Below are 21219 nucleotides of genomic sequence, written 5' to 3'. Positions count from 1 at the left end.
CAGAAAGAAAGAAGGTACAACAATATTAATACTGGTTAAGTTGGAGTGATGGTTAAAAGCATTAACTAGGCCGGGCGTGGTGGCTCATGCCTGTAATCCCAGCACCTTGGGAGGCCGAGGTGGGCGAATCACGAGGTCAGGAGATCGAGACCATCCTGGCTAACACGGTGAAACCCCATCTCTACTAAAAATACAAAAAATTAGCTGGTCGTGGTGGCGGGTGCCTGTAGTCCCAGCTAATCTGGAGGCTGAGGCAGGAGAATGGCGTGAACCCGGGAGGCGGAGCTTGCAGTGAGCCCAGATGGTGCCACTGCACTCCAGCCTGGGCGATAGAGTGAGACTCCATCTCAAAAAAAAAAAAAAAAAAAAAAAAAAAAGCATTAACTAGAATAAAGAGGGTAACTTATAATAATAGGCAAAATTTTTGAAGAAAAAGATTGTCATAAATTAATAGGCATCAAACAATGTGGTAACTAATTATATGAGGTAAATGTTTTAGAAATGCAAAGATTAATGAAACAGTACAATTATAGTTGATTTTTAACAAACCCTTTTCAGAATTAAGACCCCATATACAAAAAAATAAGAACATAGAGAAATTGAATAATACAATTAACAAATCAATTTAATATGTATTTCTTTCAAAGTAAAATTTAATTTTATATGTCCAAAATCAATCAGGTACTTGACAATGAAGAAAAATTCACACAATTTTAAAATAAAGATTTTTACAGGCCATGTTTTCTGCTCATAATCCAATAAAACTAGATATACAAAGTTAAAAAAATCAAGATTCCTAAATGCTAGAAATTAAGAAACCCATTATTAAATAATCCTCAAACAACCAAAGAGGAATAAAAATTAAAATTACAAACTATTTTAAAAATGATAAATGTAGACTCCTTTATTCTAAAACCTATAGTATCCAGCTAAAGCTGTACTCAGGAGAAAATTAATAGCTGTAAATGGCTTTGTTGTTAGAAAGACCTAAAATGAAGGAATTCTACATCAATTTTAAAACATTAGAAAATAACATTTAAACCTTAAGAAAACAGGAAAAATAAATCAATAGAAAACAAACCAAAACAAGTAGAAAGGACAAATAAATCCAAAATCGCTTCTTTGAAAAAGTCAATAAAATTAACGAACTCCTTGCAAACCTGATTAAAGAAAAGAGATAACAAAATTATGTAAGAGTAGAAATGAGAAGGGGATAAAACCATGCATACAGGAGAGACTGAAATTGTTTTATGAGAACATTATAAGTAACTCTATGGCCACAAACATTTAAAGCTAAAGAAAATTGATTATATCTTAGCAAATGCTCAAGCTTGACTCAAGATGAAGCAGAAAACTTGACTATGTCAATTATGGAAGAAACTGGAAAGATGATTTAAGATCTGCCATTTTAAAGTGCAGCAGGACAAGACTGTCATGGCTGATAGAATTCATCAGTGTTGTATGAGAGGAGATAAAGATGGGAGAAAGTGTTGGGGAGGGCAGAGACTGGGAGAGGGAGAGTGGAAGATGGGTGAGATAGGAAAAGAGTTTGAGACACAGCCTCCTCTAAAGTCCCTTTCTCTCCAAACTGACACATCTTTAATGATTGCATATTTATGTTCAACATAGACACTCTCATTTGTACAGCCAAGAGCTGTTGCTTGTAGTTTGGGGTGATGGTAGAAAAACTGCCAGAATATGGGTCCCCAAACCCTTCTTCTTCTCTCATCATGGCCTGCCCCCATGCAACCTCATGTTGGTGCTGTGAATCTGTAAGTTTAGAGATCTTTTACCTACCCATTCAGCAGGTAGATGAGGTGGGGAAGCCCTGGGGAAGGTGGGACAAGATCACTCCAGGAGCTCTCCAGTCTCGTGAGATGAGGTGAAGAGTTGGCAGGGGTGGGGGAGATGGGGGGAGTTGGTGGGAAAAGAAAGCGATAATCTTGTCCAAATCAGCTGAAATAATTTTTTATATCCAAATAGTTTTCCTCTCCTGGGGATCCAGTAAGCATGGCTAAAAGACAGTCCCCAATCAGACCCAATGCTTTGGGTGGACAGCCTCAAAGAGCTTAATGAAGACAGGAGGGGATTTTCTAGGGCAATGAGTGGGGTCTCTGGTTCTGGTTATCTGTTGTTAAAATACTTTGGGAGCCTTGCCTCCATTTTGGGTAATTGAATCTGTTCTGGAAACCCGGCAGAGAACTGAAGCCCTTATCCTAATATTATAGAGGTTTTCATGCATCATGGGATCGGACCACCTGATCTTCACACTCCCTTCAAACGTTGGGATTCTCTGAACCTCCCTGTCCTTCCTGCCTGGAAAACTCCAGCACTGAAGGGTCATCAGTTTTTCTTTGTCCAAGAGTGGTGTGCTTTCTGGCAGATGAGAGAACAACAGAGTGAGAGGTTGGAGAAGAGTGAACCTTAGAAATAGTTCCCAGACAATGTAGAAGGCGGGTCTTGGTTTAAAACTGCACCCCTTAGTGCACATCACTGGGTATCCTAGTTCTCCAGCAGCCCCAGAGCAGGTCCTCCTGATTCCAGTCATGCTACTGTCACTTTTCTGGGTATCCTCCATTTCCTGAGGGTCTTCATGCTGTCACCAGCATGTAAAACCCCTTTGCTATGTCGCAAGGGACTTGGTGGTGTCTGTTTGGGCCTGTGCACCGCCCACCAGTTTGTAAGCATTAGTATGTAGACTGTCTCTATCAGGGATCTGCAAAATACAGCTTGTGGACCAAATCTAGCTCACTGCTTGTTTAATAAAGTTTTATTGACACATAGCCATACTCATTCATTTACACGTTGTCTATGGCTACTTTTATGCTATAATGACAGGGTTAAGACTTTGCCAAAGAGAATATATGGCCTCCCAGCAGAAAATATTTACTATCTGGCTCTTTACAGAAAAAGTTTGCTGACCCCGATCTATATATATCTTTGTATATGTATATATATATTTAAAAAGACCAAATGAAAGCTATTGACTATAGTTGAGAAACAAAATTATGAAATTCATAGATAATTGTCTTTCTATAGTCAGGGCTACCTATTTGTTTTAAATATCATACACTTCATAAAGCCTCCCATGCTCACAAGCAAATAGAAGAATGAAGTAAATTTCCCAAGCTTTTTACACATGGAACTCAGGTACTTTCCTTAACTGAAATCTCTGCTTAGAGATGCTGGTTTGATTTGTCCCAGCAATCCCATTACTAGGTATATACTGAAAGGATTATAAATCATTCTATTGTAAAGACACAAGCACACATATGTTTATCACAGCACTGTATACAATAGCAAAGTCTTGATAGACTGGATGAAGAAAATGTGGCACATATACACCATGGAATACTATGCAGCCATAAAAAGAATGAGTTCATATCCTTTGCAGGGACATGGATGAAGCTGGAAGCCATCATTCTCAGCAAACTAACACAGGAACAGAAAATCAAACACCACATGTTCTCACTTATAAGTGGGAGTTGAACAGTGAGAACACGTGGACACAGGGAGGGGAACATCACACACTGGGCCCTGTTGGGGGATGGGAGGCAAGAGGAGGGAGAGCACTAGGATAACTACCTAATGCACGTGGGGCTTAAAACCTAGATGACGGGTTGATAGGTGCAGCAAACCACCATGGCACATATATACCTATATAACAAACCTGCATGTTCTGCACATGTATCCCAGAACTTAAAATTAAAAAAATTAAATTTTAAAGAGATGCTGGTTTGACCTAAACTAAGAAATGCTTATCCTCCATAATAAAGTCATATATAGGATTCTAATTTATTAATTCCTCCCTGCTATGGAATATCGCCTTGCCCCTTACAAAGACCACTGAATGGTTAAGACTCCTTATTTAGATAATTCCCTGCCCCAATCGTCCCTGTTTTGACTTTAAAATCCCATCAGTGTGAAATTCCTCTCTTTGTGGTCATTAGTCTCTAGCTCAGCCACTAGAGAGCCTTCCCTTCCTAGCCTGTGTCCCCTGACTTACCCCCCTACTCTGTGTCTGCCTAGGAACCACTCAACAAGTTTAATTTTATAGCATCTATTATTTAGTTTAAGATGCCAAGAAGATCACCTGTTAATTACCTTTCCAAAAGACTACTGTTTTTGTTTTAAGTCAACAACATTTAAGACACACACCTTATTGCTAACTCCGGAAATTTTACTGTAATACCAACATCCCTTAATGTCGCACAATAGATAGTTATGGAGATTCTGGCAGAGAATGAAAATCAGCTTCAGGGAAAGAAAGTTACAGGTGTGCTTGGTTCTACACAGGTGCAAGGAGAGGCAAAGAAGGTGAGTGCTGCAACTGATTGAACCAGAGCAGAGAACACAGGGAGAGGACATCAGGTCAGGCAAAGAGCGTTTCTTCCCCGAACATGGCTATTCACCGCTGGGGGCCTTCTCTTCTTCACCGCTTTTCACTGTCAGGTAGTAGATGCGGTTGGCCTCGGGGTAGGTGACTTTGCTGAGTGGGAGTCTGAAGATGGCTGGGTTGTTTGTCGTCAGGAGCAGGAAGATGATGGTGGCAAGGCAGAAGGCCCAGGTGCCTGGTGGCACGCCCACCTGGAAACAAAAGCATTGGGGACTGAAGAAGTTTCCTAGTTTCCTGTGTTGGGCTGGGGACTCTGGGGGAGAAGGATGTGACAGGCGTTGAGGATGGAGATCCTCCCTCCAGTGAAGGCATTGATATTCCTGGATTTGCAATGTCACAGTAGTTGGTCAAAGAATTTAGGGCTGGATGCAGTGGCTCATGCCTGTAATACCAGCACTTTGGGAGGCCAAGGTGGGAGGATCACTTGAGCCCAGACCAGCCTTGGCAACAAAGTGAGACCCAAAAAAATACAAAAGACAGCTGGGCATGATGGTGCATGCCTCTAGTCCCAGCTACTTGGGAGGCTGAACTGGGAGGATGGCTTGAGTCCTGGGAGGTTGGAGCTGCAGTGAGCCAAGATTGCACTACTGCATTCCAGCCTGGGCAACAGTGCGAGACCCTGTCTTGCAAAGAAAACAAAAACAAAACAGATAATTTGAGCCACAATCAGAATCTTTCAATGATGGAGCTGAAAATTGGCCTGAGGATGTTCCCCCATGTCCAGTCACACAGCTCCATCTGTCCGTCGTGTTTTCCACTGCTAGTTACATTGCAATCTTTCAACACACACACACACCCCTCCCTCTCCTAGAGGTACATGTATGCAATTGTCAATCCTCCTCCGGACAACCTTAGATAAACCTTAACAGAGATGTCGTGTGAGCACCAGCTACCATTACCCGCTCAATGTTCCTTTCCCAGACCCCACAACCCCATATGTCCAGAAGCTCTGGGAAGAGCACTTTGGGGTAGTGTTCAGGAGAATCCACACTTACCACTGACATGATGTTGGAGATGGCTGCTTCCATGTATGCACAGAACAGGGCTGTGGAGGAACAAGGATCACCAGAGTGAGCTTCCCAGGGCCTTCCCCCTAAGCCACTGCCATTGCAGACCAGGGAGCCCAGACCAAGAACAGGAGCCCCACCCTCTCTCCTGCAGCCTCAGATTCTGCACCATGCCCTGACAGCTGGCATGCTTGCCTGGCATTTGTTATCTCTGTAGACAGGTGAGGCCAGTCTCCCACCAGACTGTTCATTCTTCGGGCAGAGATTAAAACATATATTTCCTTTTGTCCCCTCCCTGCTTCCATAGTGGCCTTGCATGGAGTCAGGGGTCAATACACATCATATGCTAGTCTACGCTGATGGTAGCGAAGAGCTAGTACAGGCTGGATGATTGTTGTAGGGGAAGAGTGGTCAGACTATACGAGCTCCTGCCAAGGTCCCTCCTATTCAAGACTGTGAGCAGCTGTGATGCTGCTTGATGTTCACCAAGTCTCACCAGGGCTGAACCTTACTAGACCCCTGAACCAGTCCCCAGGAGCCAGGCAGCTGGGTTCCCCCATGGGAGCTGGGTCCTGAGGACAGTCAGGAAAGCTCGTCCATGTAGCTGGTGCCTCTGGACAAACTCCTTCTGCCTGCAGCTTTGCTCTTTCTCCTTCTCTGTCCGGAACACCTCTTCCCTCTCTCTTTGTCAACTCAGATCCTACTAGAAGTGTTGAGATAAACCCTAGCCTCCCCCTGTAGGCTTCCCAGATGATTCCAGCCACAGGAATCTGCCACTTCTCTGAAGGCCAAAAGCAGTTACGGTCTGAACCTCAAAATAACAGGCACTTTTAACTTGACAAATATTTACTAGGTCCACTGTCTCCATGCCCAGCCTCATGTTGGCTGCTGAGGGGATACAAGGGATATGGAAGTCATTCTCAGTCTCCAAGCATAAGTGGGAAAAAACAAAAGAGAAGCTGTTCCAGACGCTAGTCTTCTGTTTCCTTGACTCTAGTTTTATTTATTAATGTCCTGTCCTGCTTCCAGAGAACAATACCAGGAGAGGAGAGCTGGTGGCAAGCTGGGGCTGGGATTGACTCTCCCTTTTGCCATTAATAGCTATCTTCTAGGGCAAGTTAATTAGCCCCTCTGAGCCTCATTTCCTCATCTGTAAAATGGGCCAGGCAGGCTATGCCTGGTGGTATTCTTGGGGGGATTAAGTGAGTTTGTATATTTATATAACAGGGTATGGTGCTGGGATACAGGTGTATGAGAAGGACTATGGCTGATTTCCCTTCTGGCAGCATATTCTCTGTTTATGGAAATCGAGCTTCCATAATGTGGTTATGATTTTTAGTGCTCCTGGTACATCACCTCACTGGATCATTCCAACAACCTTTGTGGACGCTGCAGCCTTAGTAATTATTTGTGCAATTACTTCTCTCCTGCTAGGCTGTGGCTTCATGAGGATGTAGTCACCATGGTATCTTCTATACCTAGACTAGGTCCTGGCACTTGATGGTGTTGTATAAACAGTTGTTGAATGAAGAGTTATAGAGAGCAGGAATGCTGTCATTAGCACACAAGGAAATGCATATGTGATTTCCTTATAAACTTTACAACACTGTGTAAGTATAATACCATTCGGTGGTTGTGATCCCATTTGACAGAAAAGGGACCTGAAATCCCCAGCTGTTAAGGGCAGCACTGGCATTAGGACGCAAGCCATTGGCCTTTCTGTCACTGCTGAACAGTATTGATTAGTGGTCCCCATGGGTTTCACATAAACAAGGGGGGAAGGAATAGCCAGAATAACCTGGTTGTCAGCTTTTCTGAACACCTACCACAGATGAGGGCCAGCAGGTGAGTCTGCCAGGTGAGGGCATAGAACATGCCTCCGATGGCGATGCAGGAGAGGACGCAGTTGTAGCTCCAGAGGCCTGTGTAGATGGTCTCGAAGGGTGTGGCCACTGACAGGGCTATGGGACAAGGTGTGGTATTTCTGTCTGATTCTGGGCCACAGAACAAAGACCACCCTGGGACTGGTGCCAGGTCTCAGAGTGGCCTCCATGCTGTTGTTCACCCCACATCTCCAAACCTGCCCATCAAAAGAGCCTCTACAAATGGCATCCGGTCTTAGGAGACCTTCAATGAAAAGAGAACAGTGGTTTCCAAACCAGTTGTCAAAGCCACAGGCTTCACTTGGAGGTCCTCCTGGGTGAGAAGAGGCAAGGAGGTGGGATTCTAGGCCCCTTCTTACTGCTTTGACTACAGCAACTGCAGTCTTAGCAAGAAAGTTTCCAAAAAGGTTTGAAGAGTTAAACAAATATTTTTAAAAGTTGTTTCAAGTGCTCTGGAAAAATATCCCTATACACTTATGGATATATGTAGATAGAGGAATGATACAGCAGAAGGAGTAAGATGTGAACAGTGGGTACATCTGGGGAAAGAATTTACAGATGCCTCATATTTTTATTTTTACCATTTTTTGATGAGTTTAAAACTATTTCCAAATAAAAAATACTTTTTAAAGTTTTGCTTCCAAAAAAATCTTTGAAAAATATTAGAAGAAGTCTAAAACAGGTTCCTACTCCCAATGCTCCTACCCCAATCTCTGACTCTGTTGTCAGAAAGAGCAAATACCTATTTAAATGTGTATACATACATATACACAGGTAGCAATATTAAAGCACATTTGTTAAGTGGCAATCCAATGTTTGAGAACAATTTTCTTTGTATCTTACCAAAAATTTCAGAGTGCTGGGCCATTTATTTTATCACAGTTGGTCTTGGTTACTGCTCCCGCCCCTACCCCTGTGTCTCTCCAGCATCCTCAGCTCCAGGGGCTCAGTTTGCAGGCCAACTTGGTTCTTACCCCCTTGCATCTCTCCACATGTATTTTTTTTTTTTTTAAGACGGAGTCTCACTCTATTTCCCAGGCTGGAGTGAGGTGGTACGATCTTGGCTCATTGCAACCTCCACCTCCTGGGTTCAAGTGATTCTCCTGCCTCAGCTCCCCAAGTAGCTGGGATTATGGGTGCCCACCACCACACCCAGCTAATTTTTGTACTTTTTTTTCTTTAGTAGAGATGGGTTTTCACCCTGAGTTCAGGTCATCTATGTGCCTCGGCCTCCCAAAGTGCTGGGATTACAGGCATAAGTCACCGTGCCTGTCTCCCTGAAAGTATTTAAAACTGCAGGGAAGAGAATGTCTGGAAGATTTGCTGTATGTAGGGGAAAAGTGACCTTGAGTGAATTATCCTGAGGACCTGAAGAGAGGGAGCTCTGTCCTACCTGCTAGCAGCCCCACGATTGAGCCAATGGCTGCATGCAAGCAGATGAGTGGCGAGGAGATGAACAGAGCCACCAGGAACACGCCGCCTGTCCAGGGATTGTCACAGCCATACACCTGGCCGACCCCAACAGGGATGGCTTGTAACAGCTGCAAAGTTAACAGAATACAGGTCACTGGAGCATGGACAATAATGCAAAAACCAGACTCAGGGCCAGATTTGAGCCATTCCTCGGGGGAGTAATGGAGTGGAACGGGAGGATGACTGTACCCTCCAGCATGTGAGAGAACATGGGAGGCATGAGCTGGAACAAACAGCTCCTCACTCTACCACCCAGCAGGCATGTGAGCATCCCTCATGCAAAGCCAGGGCCCCCAACATGGGCTGGGCATGGATGCTTCTGAGGAACATACGGCTTCTGCTTTGAGGGGACCAGAATGCACCTCCTCCCTAGAATGCCGCTGGGAGTTTCAGGGCTCTCGGGGATTTCCTCTAGACCTTCTGAAATCCATACAAATATTCTAGGAATATTGAAAATACAGTAGGCCATTTTGATGTATGATTTGACTAAAAGTCACCCAGCCTGTTGTTGGTCAAGTGCAGGCTAGAGGCTCTGAGCTTGACCCCTAGCTCAGGTCTGAGGTCTTTGTCACCCTTGCTGTCTCTTTGTCAAGCCACTGCTGACACGTCCTCTTTGGCGGCCCCTGCCCATTCACTGCTACCCTGGGGGGTTGTGAGCCTTTGGAAAGGAGCAGTAGGCATGCCCCCTGCTCTCGAAGACCGCATAGCATTGTAGAAAGGTAGTATGTGGCACATCTGGAGAATGGCCTGAAGCCCAGACATCCCTGAGCCTGAGAGTAACTTGGTGCTGGAATTGGGGAGAATTTGTTTGGCAGTGCTGACAGATGGCTTTTCTGTGGCCAGGCTGAATTGTCGATATTTTTGGAGTCCTTTGAGGGCAGAAAAAGAAAGGAGGGAGAATGGCAGGGCAGGCAGAGCACTGGCCTGGGAGTAGAGGGCTCTAGCTTCCATCAGGGCTCTGCACAGTTCACTGTGTGACTGTGAGCATGTCACATCCTCGTCTGTAACAAGAGGCTGGCTTGGCAGATGATCTTCCAGCTTTAAGACTCTGTAGTTCTTTTCACCATTGCCAGGTCACATGACCTCTGTGAGGACAGGGCCCTTTATGCCCAGGTACACCATAGGTGCTTAACAAATAGGAATTGATTAGGTCAGTGGTTCCCAAACTTTGCTGTACAGTGGAATCCCCTGGGAATCTTTAAACAAATACTGATGCCCAGCTCTTCCCTAGACATTCTGATTTAATTGATATGGGGCATGGCAGGTCCTCAGGTGAGTCTAGTGTGCGATGGGAGATTAGTTATAGATGATCTACTGTAGACGTTGCTGTAGATGTTGGGAATAATTTAGTTTCTCCCTTTGGACCAAATTTTGTACTTTTTGACAATTTGATTTAATTCTGGAATAAGTATGATTTCTTCAGGGAGTAGTATTTGAAGAGCCTAGAGGGCTCTTAAACTTTGCTCACTCTTGTCTCTGAATGAATGGTCTTTTAATAACCAAATGCTGTTTGGACCAGAGTTTATAATCTTGCGAAAGGAATGGCAAGGGAGGGGTACTCAATCATATTTATTTATAGAAACCCAGAAAACACTTTGTACCAGACCAGGGAACTCAGCTTAAATGTTGGGAACAGGCTGGAAGTCTATTTAATAAATATCCCATGATTGCCAACATCTGAGGAATGCGGGATGCTGAGGGGAGTTCACGTCCACCTTTCCATCCGGGAACGCAGATTTTAAGCCCAAGCGGTCAAGAATGAGAGGAATGAGGGAATGAGTGGCCTTGGAATGGAGCCTGGGTTTAGAATGAAGCTTCCTCCGCTGGGATCTATATTTCAGCCTGGTGAGCTGTGCCCCAGGGCGGCCTTCCCTCCCAGCACGCTGCTCCCAGGCCGCAGCTGACACCCTGGTGTGAAGGGCAGTCAGGTGTGCCATGGAAATTTACTAAGCACCAGGCCTTCTTCACACTCCTCATAATTCTTATATAGCAACAATAAGCTGATTAAACAAAAAGGAAAAGGAAGGCCTTTCTCTGTTGTTTCAAAGAGAAAGAGGGAAGTGGCCTGGGAGCAGCGTGCTGGGGACCTCTCTAGTCTTGACAATAAAAATGTCTCCAGACATTGCCTAATGTCTCCAAGGGGCAAAATTATCCCTGCCTGAGAACCACTAAGAGAGAGAGTATATAAAAATTAACCCTCTGTCTTCTATGCTAATGCCTTTAAAATCCCAATTTTAAATGTTTATTTTAGTATCTTGCCCCTTTATCTGACTATACATTTTATCTAATATCTTTCACTCAACCACCACAGTTCTGTACTGTCAACGCTTATCTGTTCACTTGCATGTTATCTGTTTCCCCGTATAGAATGTAGGCTTCCTAAGAGCAGGATGTCATTGTCTTGTATTATCAGTATCTGAAAAAGTGTCCAGGCCATGTTACATGCTCAATAAGTACTGTTGAAAGGATCTATGGATGTGGCAGCAACCCTTTCTGATACCCTGCTGAGGCCCATCATCTGGTATAGATGTTTCTAGAGAAGTTGAGAGCATGGATAGTCCACAAATTGGTTGGCGAGAAGGTCTGCAGTGGAATATGGGGGTCTCAACTCATCACCGCTGGGTAACTTACCAGGGGCATTTCCATCTCTGTCCAGGTGATATTGGGCACTGAAGACACAGGCTCTACCAGTGTTGTGGGGAAGAAGAGGTTGTAGTGGCCTGTGGCTGCAAGGTACAAGGTGACTGCAATGTTGAAGGGCAGAGTGAAGACCGGGAGGTCCCACTTGCTGAAGATGGAATTCAAGGCACTAGAAAGAACTGGGCTGAAGATGCAAGAGACAGAGGGTTAATCCCTGTGACATCCTGAGGTCTACATTGTCTCAGCAGCTCTGGCCACTGTATCATCCACTGCCTCCTCTCCTAGGCACAGCATTCCTGGCCCCCTTGAGACTCCAGTGTTCCAATGATCTGGGATAGGGAATAGAATAAGGTATTCAATTTCAGCTCTTACCTTTTTCTTTTTTTTTTGCCAATTTATTGTCATCTGCTTCATAAGCTTACACCTCTGAGAAACAAATTTTAAAAATATCGTAACTTATTTTGAGTAAAACACTTTATAAAATAGTGGAAATATTTCCTTGTTTTTTAAACCAAGAAAACTAAACAAAATGTAATGTATTGCCTTTGAATCACCAAGGTGTACAATGACTATTGTTCAAGGCTCTGATAACATTTTAGAAGACTGACCTTCTAGGAGGAGGCTGCAATGGCATATGGGTAATTTGCAGGTCTAGTTTCAGCAAAAATACTTAGAGCTACTCTGGAAACTGCCAGGGGAAAATAGAACCTTCAGTTGTTTGTACCCTCTGTCTTCTTCATCTTTTCCTTGGAAGGAGAATGGGTGTTGGAGACAGATGAAGCTTAGTGCAAATCCTGACTCACTCCTATGCATACAGGCTGAAGGAACAATGTTAGGTAATTAATCTCCCTTAGCTTCAGTTTCCTCTGGAAGGCACCAGCCACCCTAGACACCAAATACCCCACATCATCCACACTCAGTGACCTGCTGGGCAAAACCTGAAGTTGCATGATGTGTTTAAATTGTCTGCTTTTAATGAATGACCATGAATTTCAAAAAGGCGTTTAAGACTTCCTGAAAACCCTCCTACACATCCCTCACCAGTTAACTCTCCGACTTGCTGAGACAAGTATTTCACATTTTCACCTTTCTTCTCAAATCTTTACTGTCTGCTTCCCTTTAGCCTCCGCCAACCACCTGGCTTTACTTCATTAAGAAAATAGAAGTGACAAGATGAGAAAGGCTTGTTTTCCCAGCCATAAAATCCACACCCTGTCTGCTTTCTTCCCACAAAATCTGCCTCTCTGTCTTTTTCACATAATGGAAGCATCCCTGCTCCTTCATCAGGCCAGTTCTTTTCCCTGTTCTTTGGATCTAATCTGCCTCAGGGACTTCATTCCTGTAATTTTCTCATTTCTCTCCTGCAGCTTCAATCTCTTCTTTTTCTTTGGATCATTCTCATCAGGATATAACATGCTCTAGTATCTTCTACCTTTAAACATCTTCCCCCTTTAACCTGATGGCCACTCCAGCTGTGGCTCCGTTTCTCTGCTCCCCTTCGGGCAGTAGCCCTCGAAATGGTTGGCTTTCTGTGCTATCCCCAATCTTTCTCTTCCTAGTCTTTCCCAAACCCACTTCAGTCAGGTGTGTGCCCTCATTACACCATGGAAATGGCTCTTGTCCATTTCACCAATGGCATCTATCTTGCTAAGTCCATGGTCATTCCCTATTGCTTTGACAGTTGGACCTGCCCACCATCTTGAAATACTTTGTCTGGGCTACCATGACACTGGATTTTCTTAGTTTTCTTTTTGCCTGTTCCTTCTTAGTCTCTTTTGATGGTTTTTCCCCTCTCTTGCCAGACTTCTAAATGTTGGAAGAGCCTATGGGACTCTGTCTTGAATATTTTCTCTCTCTTCTAAAAAATCTTCTCTGTTGGGTGATAGCCTTTAGTACCATAGATGAAAGCTTCTGTGTGTTTCCACCTCCCAAATCTTGATCATATCACTGTTTCAGATTTGTACATCCAATTGCCTTTACAACATCTCTACTTGGAAGTCTATAGTATAATGTGTCCAAACAGAATTCTTGATTTGTATCCTGTCTCCTGCCACCGACCAGTTCTTCTCTTGGTCTTTTGTATCAACCTAGGTACTTAGGCAAATTAAAGGAGTGTATTCAATTTTCTTTTTTTTTTTCCTCTCCTTGGTTTTCCACAACCTCCCAACAAGTTATATTGCCTCTATCTTCTTTAAAATATACCCCAGACCCACTCACTTCTTACCATGTTCATGGATATCACTCTAATCTAAACACTGTCATCTCTGTGGGGTTTTGTAGCAGACAATTGTGGATTATTGTAGCAGATGCTTCCAGCATCCACTCTTACTCCAGTTAAAATCCGTCTCCATCCTGCAAACAGAGTGATTTGTTTAGATTTAAACCATATCCCATCACATCTCTGCCTAAAACTCTCTAACTGCTTTCTATCACAGCTGATATAGAAATCCAAAGGCTTACTGGGTCTACAGGGTGTACCTGGTCTGACTCTCATCGAGTACCTGCCCTCCCCTCCTGCCACTCCTCCATCCTTCACTGGGCTTCTGCCACACCAGTCTTGTCTCTCTTCTTAGAATACATCACACTTCCCCAGTTGGGGGCTGCTTCTGCCTGCAACATCCTTCACCCACATCTTCAGATGACAGATGCCTTCTTATCATTTAGGCGACAGCTCAAATGTCCCCTCTGCAAAGTTGTCTTCCCTGAGCACACATGTCTGGAATCATTTGCTGTCCCATTTAGCCTCTCTTGCTTTCCTCAAAGCACTTATCACATCTTGAAATGATCCCTTTTATTAACTAGTTTATGAGTTTATTTCTGTCTTAGCCAAGAAGAATGTCAGTTCCAAGGGAATAGAGACTTTTCCTTGTTTACAAATATTCCCAGCATCTAGGGTCAACCTTTCACTCAACAAATAGTTCAGGCACTCAACAGATATTTGTTTATTGAATGAATCTGGAAAATGGCACTACAAATACCTACCCTATGACTTGAATTTCAGGGTCCCCATAAATGGATTGATGAATGCACTGGAGTAGTAGCACAGAGCCCAGGGTGGGGTGCTCAGTGTTTTTTTGTCCTTTAAATTGGGAAGTGGGATGGGGGGCACTGAAGTCTAATTGCCAGCCAGTGCAATGTGGTTGAGGAGCTGTGTTGAGGGGCTTAATCTATGTAGTTTTAAACCAAATGTATTGCAAATGAGGGCAAGTTCTCCTTTTCACAGGCAGGAACGTGGGGGGCATTAAGAAAATCCACATAGAAATGACTGTCTTGGCTTTTTGTCCCAATGGATTAAGAACGAAACCCTAAGAGGAAAACTAAATTGCCCAGAATCCTTAATGTAGTAATTTATTTGCAAGCACTACTAAAAAGTAATAAAAGAGTAGTTAAGCTAAATTAAACTAGCTGGTTTTAGTAACTGCAGACTTTGAAACCAAGGAAAGACATTTACTTCTTAGAGATGTTAAAAGTAAATCATCCTGTCTGATTTATTGCTGACAATAAGAATAAATCACACTGTTTGAGGGAAGTTGAGAACAGGGTGGTATACACATGTGAAGTCAGGGTCTGGGGGACAAAGGTTCACCATGACAGTGAGCACACTGCAGAGACCCCAAGATGCTTGATAGACCTGCTGTAAATTTACGTGAACTAAGAATCATTGTGTGAATGGCCCAGCACACCCTTCGCTAGGTGAATATTTGTTCCTAACTCCCTTTCATGGTGACCTTCTTATTTCATCTAGAATATGAGGTGATTGCCCAGCAAGATCTCAACCGATACTTCCAGTTCAAAGGTTCTATGCTTTACATATAAATATTCTGTTCCAAGAAAGCTCTCTGCTTCTATCACAAGCAGGTTTTCAGCTTTTAGGTCTTGGTTACGTCACATAATAGACAATTCCCATGCAACCTGGGGTTTAATAGTGCAGATTGGATTTGGAATGCCAGCATCAAAAACTACCACAAAGTACAACTTGGGGCAAGTGACTTAATCTCTGCATGCCTTGGTCTTCCCTTCCATAAACTGATGGCAAATGTAGCCATACTTAGCACTGCATAAGCCCTGCTTAGCACTGTGTCAAGCATGTAGGAATAACTTAGGAAATGCTGACTTTTATTACTAAGAATGTCGTTCAGGAAGATTACCATTGCAATAAAAAAAATGTTGTCTTTTGTTGGTTTAAAGAATCCTCCTGGCTGGGCATGGTGGCTCACGCCTGTAATCCCAGCACTTTGGGAGGCCGAGGCAGGTGGATCACGAGGTCAGGAGATCGAGACCATCCTGGCTAACACAGTGAAACCCTGTCTCTACTAAAAATACAAAAAATTAGCTGGGCGTGGTGGCGGGTGCCTGTAGTCCCAGCTACTTGTGTGGCTGAGGCAGGAGAATGGTGTGAACCCAGGAGGTGGAGCTTGCAGTGAGCCGAGATTGCGCCACTGCACTCCAGCCTGGACGACAGAGCAAGACTCTGTGTCAAACAAACAAAAAACAAAAGAATCCTCCTTATTCCATATCTCCAAATGACCCCCTTGTGTTACAAGAGAACTCATGGGCTTTCATGGTGTCAGACAAGCTAACTTGGCTATGAAGGGGCTGGGTCCCACATGTGTATGTCCTGTCTCTGGCCAGTATAAGACACAAGTGTCTTGGGGGCCCCATGGAGCTGTGAGCAGAAAAAATGAGGTGCCTCACCAGGACATGGCTGTGAAGGTCACAGGAAACAGAAGCCACCAGTAGTAGTCTAACTTCTCCGAGAACACGGCCATCAGCAGTCCCACCAGCATCCCGTTGTACCCATGGAGTCCTGAGGCAATGGCAGACCTGGCGGTGAAACAGACTGATTTTGCATTTGAAGTTGGTGGTGTTACTGGGCCCCTCCCTCCTGGTGCTCTGAGGATATGCTTAATTTAGATGATTCCTTTAATAATAATGCTTAGAAAAAAGTCAGTTCGCTCAATGAATATTGGGCAGTCACATAGCTGCCAGCACCTTTCCTGATAACACACACACACACACACACACACAAACACACACACACACACCCTTGTCTTGCTGATCGACAATTAAAATTATGCACTTTGTCTGTGGTTAAGCTCTTCTTTATCAGGGGAGACTTAGACTGCTAAATATAGAGGGAATATAATAGAAACCTGAGGTGTGACACAAGGAAGTTGTGTGTGGGAGTGAGGGAGAGAGAAGAGAGGGAAGGAGAAAGAGTGTTATGATTACATTGTGTAAAGTTCTCTGTAGTTGGCCAGGCTCAGTGGCTCATGCCTGTAATCCCTGCACTTTGGGAGTCCAAGGTGGGAAGATGACTTGCACCCAGGAGTTCAACCAGCCTGGGCAACATGGTGAAACCCCATCTCTGCTAAAATACAAAAATTAGCCAGGCGTGATAGTGCATGCCTGTAGTCCCAGCTACTTGGAAGGCTAAGGTGGGAGGATCACTTGAGCCCAGGAAGTTGAGGCTGCAGTGAGCCAAGATCTCACCATTGCCCTCCAGTCCAGCCTGGGTGACAAAGCAAGACCCTGTCTCAAAAACAAAAAATTCTCTGTAGCTGGAATCTGTGTACTTTCTCTCTGCATGTCTGCAACAGAGTGAATAAGCTGGTTTAGCTTTGGGTTCCCAGGTGCCCCTTGGTGAGGAGCAGCCCAGAAGTGTGGTAGTATCCAAGCATGAGTCTAGCCACTCCTTCTTTTTCAGAGGAGAAGCTGGTGTATGCACCTACAATTCTCCTCCTGATCGTAATAAACACTGTCCTTGACCTTTCTAATTGCTCTGCCGGGTGAGGGGCATAGGCTGTGGGTGAGGGAGGGGCATAGGCAGCTTGTGATGCAAGGCCCCTGCCAAGGAGTGACCTGTGTGTGCTTGTGGTCAGTCCCTCTGCACCTGCCTTAGTTCTATGAGGGCTGAAGTGTGTCTGTGTGTCCGTTGCTGTGGCCCAGTAACCCAGCAATGTCAAGAGTATCTGTGCATGGAGGGTGCTCAGCTAGTATTTGTTGAATGAATAATGTGGGCGTGCTAAACCTTACCATGTGTTGGCTGTTCTTGCATGGCAGAAGCTTCTGGAAGCTTAGGGCTCCCTGAGATGCAGGAAGGGAATTCTGGCTAGAGGAGGGCTCCAACCCAGCAGGGGCTGTGGCTTAGGTTTGGAAGGGGGAGGACCTTTCACCTCTGTAGTGACCAGGAGGTCTAGTGACCTAGATAAGAGGAGAGCAGGAGGATGGGAAAGGGGCAGGAGAGAGCATATCTAGACAGCTTCCTGCAAGAAAGCTGTAGCACAAGGCACATGTGTGGACACTTGTACTGGACACAGGACAAGCTGTGTGGTCAGCTGCTCTTGAGGCCAGGAAGATATGGGGGCAGCTGGAGACAGGCAGTGGGTGGGATGGAGGGAGGTGGCAGAGAAGACCACTGGGGAGCACTTCAGGAGCAGAAATCCATGTTTTGGGAAAATCATTATTTTTAGTGTGTTTGTATTTTCTCTACATTTTCCCATTTGTGTTTGGTGATATAAATTAGTGCTTTTTTTGTTTTAATACCAATAGCTGTCCCACCCTGTGGAGAGTGTCCCTCCAGAACTCTTGTTTTTACTAAAACTTTGGTGGTTTCTGGATTTCCCTCCCTGACTATAAAATATGCAAAATTGGGTTCAACTCCAGTGCCAAAAAGGTCTCCATTAAGACCACATTCCATCAGGACACTGCAGCATTGGTGTTGTTGACCTTCAGTTACCATCTGTAAAGTATAGTCTTAGGCTAGTAGGGAATTGGGGGTGGGGACAGCGGGGGTGATTAAAGGGTAGTGGGGGTGATGGAGGTCATGCTTAGAATATGCAACTGTGTCAGTGGTTCATTGTGTACAGCAGTGAGCTCGTGGCTCCTTAGAAGATATGTGTATGGATGTTGTGTCCAGTGGCTAGAGCTTTGAGCCTATGATGCAGAACAAGACACTGACCTGTCAGCAACAAAGCCTAGATCTTTTCTAGGCACTGTGGGTGTATATGGCCCATTGGAAACCAACTTCTCCTGAACATGCTTAGAATATATCCAGAGAAAGAAGAATCAAAAAAATTAATTACAGAACAATTCAATCTAGTACTGGGATGTGTTCTGTGGTTGTTCAGAGAGAAAGAAAAGTTCAGAGAGCATAGAGGGAATCAGGAGTGGCTCCCTGGGGGAGGAAGGATTCCAGGGAACTGTAGAATTAGATAGACAGAGGTACAGCTGGTGTCAGGGATCACAGAAGCAAAAGTACTTAACTAGGGACAAATGTGATGTTGATTGAGCACTAGGTACTGTAGGACCCATCAAATGACACTTGGGGAGCCAAGCTGAGGGACTGGGTTTTTATCTGATGCATATTTATCTTAAATTCTTAATCAGGGTGTTTGTGAGGATTAGGCATGCCTGGTGTGCATCCCCCCTTGTAAAACTGCAGTCTGTGAAGTGACCCTCTGAATGGCTTGGCATGTTTACCAGTAGATTAATGGTGGGGAGGATAATCAAAGAATCAGAGTGTCAGCGCAGGGAGGGTCTTGGGCTCATCTCAGCTGGACAGTAGATTATACAGATGAGGATAATGGGGCTGGAGGGGGAAGTACTTGCCTGAGTCACACAGCTAAGAAGGCAGTGGGCTGGACAGAGTTCACCCCAGGTAAATTTCAGCACACAATGATGAAGCAGTGAGGCATGGGCTGATCTGCCAGGGGCTCAGTTCTGTGCCAGCTGCCCATGGTTGATAGGTACATGGGAACAAGGAATAGGAGGCCCACTAACTGAAGGAGACACAGGAACCTGGCTGGAGCCCATTTTTAATCTCACCCACCAGATCTGCATTCAGAAGAATTCAGCCTCTCATCCATCTGACTTTGAATGGCCTCCTAGCATGCTAGAATCTGAGTGGTCCTCCAACGCCACCCTAGAGGTGCATGAGCAACTTCTCACCAGGGCCAGGCTGACTCATGCATTTCCCTCGGTGGAATGAGGAACGTCGGCTGGGCCTGACGTTGGTTACAACACTTCCAGCTCTGATTACTTTGGGTTCACCAATGGGCCTCTGACCATGTTGTCCTCACAGGTGCCATGATGGGGACAGCATGACCTTGATTCTAAGATGCAGGTCATGCCTCCAAGCCTAAGTCCTGCCACCCACTGGCTGTGGCACCTTTGGTAGGTAGCTCTCCCCTTCCAGTCTCCTTTCCCTCACTTGCAAGATGTGGACTCTGTTCCCTTCACTGTGCCTTGTGCAGTGGTGGTAAGAGTCACAGTTAATAAGATATGACAGTGCTTCTCAGTTTTCTTTTTTTGAGAGAAACCCACTGTAAGAAATGCATTTTATATTATGACTTAGCTTTCACTTTCTTTCTTTCTTTCTCTCCCACGCACACATCCCCAACATAAATGAAACAAAAATTCCACCAAATAATACTTACCATTACCATATATAGATAACTCTCATCAGTTTTATTTTACGCTATTAACTTTAAAAAATGCTGCTGACAATTAATTCATGATCTGGAAATGGCTTGGTGATCCCCAAATTGAAAAACACTAAGATAGGGGATAATCCAGTGCTTTCCAAACTTCTCTGACCATCAGAAGCATCTAGGAGGACCTTGTTAAAAGTACCCACTCTCAGATCCACTGAATTTTCATAGCTATGAGAGGAAGGGGGAGGAGTGGGCCAAAACGATTTCTTTCTTTCTTTCTTTTTTTTTTTTTTTTTGAGGCAGAGTCTCGCTCTGTCACCAGGCTGGAGTGTAGTGGTGCGATCTCGGCTAACTGCAACCTCCGCCTCCCGGGTTCAAGCAATTCTCCTGCCTCAGCCTCCCAAGTAGCTGGGACAACAGGCAAGCGCCACCACGCCCAGCTAACTTTTGTACTTTTAGTAGAGATGGGGTTTCACCATATTGGCCAGAATGGTCTCAATCTCTTGACTTTGTGATCCACTCGCCTTGGCCTCCTGAAGTACTGAGATTACAGGTGTGAACCACCATGCCCAGCCTGAAACTATTTCTTAACAACCACCTTAAGTGATTCTGACCATCAGGAAAGTTTGGGAGCCACTGGAAAAATATACGGCAAAGTCTCAGGAAGTGGTCAAGTTCTACAAAATGCAAGTTTTTATTCTTTTTTCTTTTTCTTTTCTTTTTTTTTTTTTTTTTTTTGAGAAAGTCTTGCTCTGTCACCCTGGCTGGAGTGCAGTGGCACGATCTTGGCTCACTGCAACCTCCACCTCCCAGGTTTAAGAGATCCTCAGCCTTCCGAGTAGCTGGGATTACAGGCATGCACGACCATGCACAGCTGATTTTTGTATTTGTAGTAGAGACGGGGTTTCACCATGTTGGCCAGACTGGCTTCAAACTCCTGGCCTCAAGTGATCTGCCTGTCTTAAGCCTCCCAAAGTGCTGAGATTGTAGGCGTGAGCCACCGTGCCTGGCCCTTGTTATTGTTACTTGACTTTGCACCAGCCAGTGCGAGGCCAACTTCTCTTTCCACATCTGTATCTATGCCTCCTGCCAGCCCTGTTTGCTCCCCTTCCTCAGTGCCCCTTCCCACACTGTCCTCCTCTCTCTCCTCGCCTTCTCTCAGATCCCCCATATGCAACCTTTATAACTCAGAGGTAGCCTCTCTAATCTTCCCAACACTTGGTAATGTCTGTCTTCTCTGAACTCAATTATATACTGTCCTGTATTATTCTGAGACATTCATTGCCTATTAATCTTGTCTCCTTCAACTAGATGGTAGGCTCTGTGAGGGAAGAACAGCTTAGCTGTTCCTCTGCACCTCCCTCTGAGGCAGTGTTTGCAGAAGT

General features: G+C 44.7%; 1 protein-coding gene and 1 long non-coding RNA gene across 7 annotated transcripts in view; one reads left to right on the top strand and one right to left on the bottom strand.

Annotated features, from left to right (window-relative positions):
* Nucleotides 1–21219, bottom strand: part of SLC14A2 (solute carrier family 14 member 2) — a 515726-nt gene that overhangs the window by 35116 nt on the left and 459391 nt on the right. For 5 of the 6 annotated variants that reach the window (NM_001371319.1, XM_024451270.2, NM_001242692.2 and 2 more), the window contains 6 exons: nucleotides 16095–16223; nucleotides 11391–11583; nucleotides 8680–8827; nucleotides 7230–7364; nucleotides 5392–5441; nucleotides 4413–4587 (listed from right to left, as the gene is read on the bottom strand). In NM_001371319.1, coding sequence (NP_001358248.1) covers nucleotides 4413–4587; nucleotides 5392–5441; nucleotides 7230–7364; nucleotides 8680–8827; nucleotides 11391–11583; nucleotides 16095–16223 — 830 coding nt within the window. The remainder of the gene's footprint in view (nucleotides 1–4412; nucleotides 4588–5391; nucleotides 5442–7229; nucleotides 7365–8679; nucleotides 8828–11390; nucleotides 11584–16094; nucleotides 16224–21219) is intronic. The other variant, XM_017026016.3, reaches the window with a different exon arrangement.
* LOC105372093 (uncharacterized) overlaps nucleotides 1–21219 on the top strand; it is a 176501-nt gene that overhangs the window by 134264 nt on the left and 21018 nt on the right. Inside the window, exon 8 of the long non-coding RNA XR_935423.3 lies at nucleotides 11416–11750. This is a non-coding gene — a long non-coding RNA (uncharacterized LOC105372093). The remainder of the gene's footprint in view (nucleotides 1–11415; nucleotides 11751–21219) is intronic.

This window comes from Homo sapiens, chromosome 18 (assembly GCF_000001405.40).
Source record: "Homo sapiens chromosome 18, GRCh38.p14 Primary Assembly".
NCBI lineage: Eukaryota > Metazoa > Chordata > Mammalia > Primates > Hominidae > Homo > Homo sapiens.
Note: the sequence above shows the minus strand (reverse complement) of the source record. Positions and strands in the feature narration are given on the sequence as shown.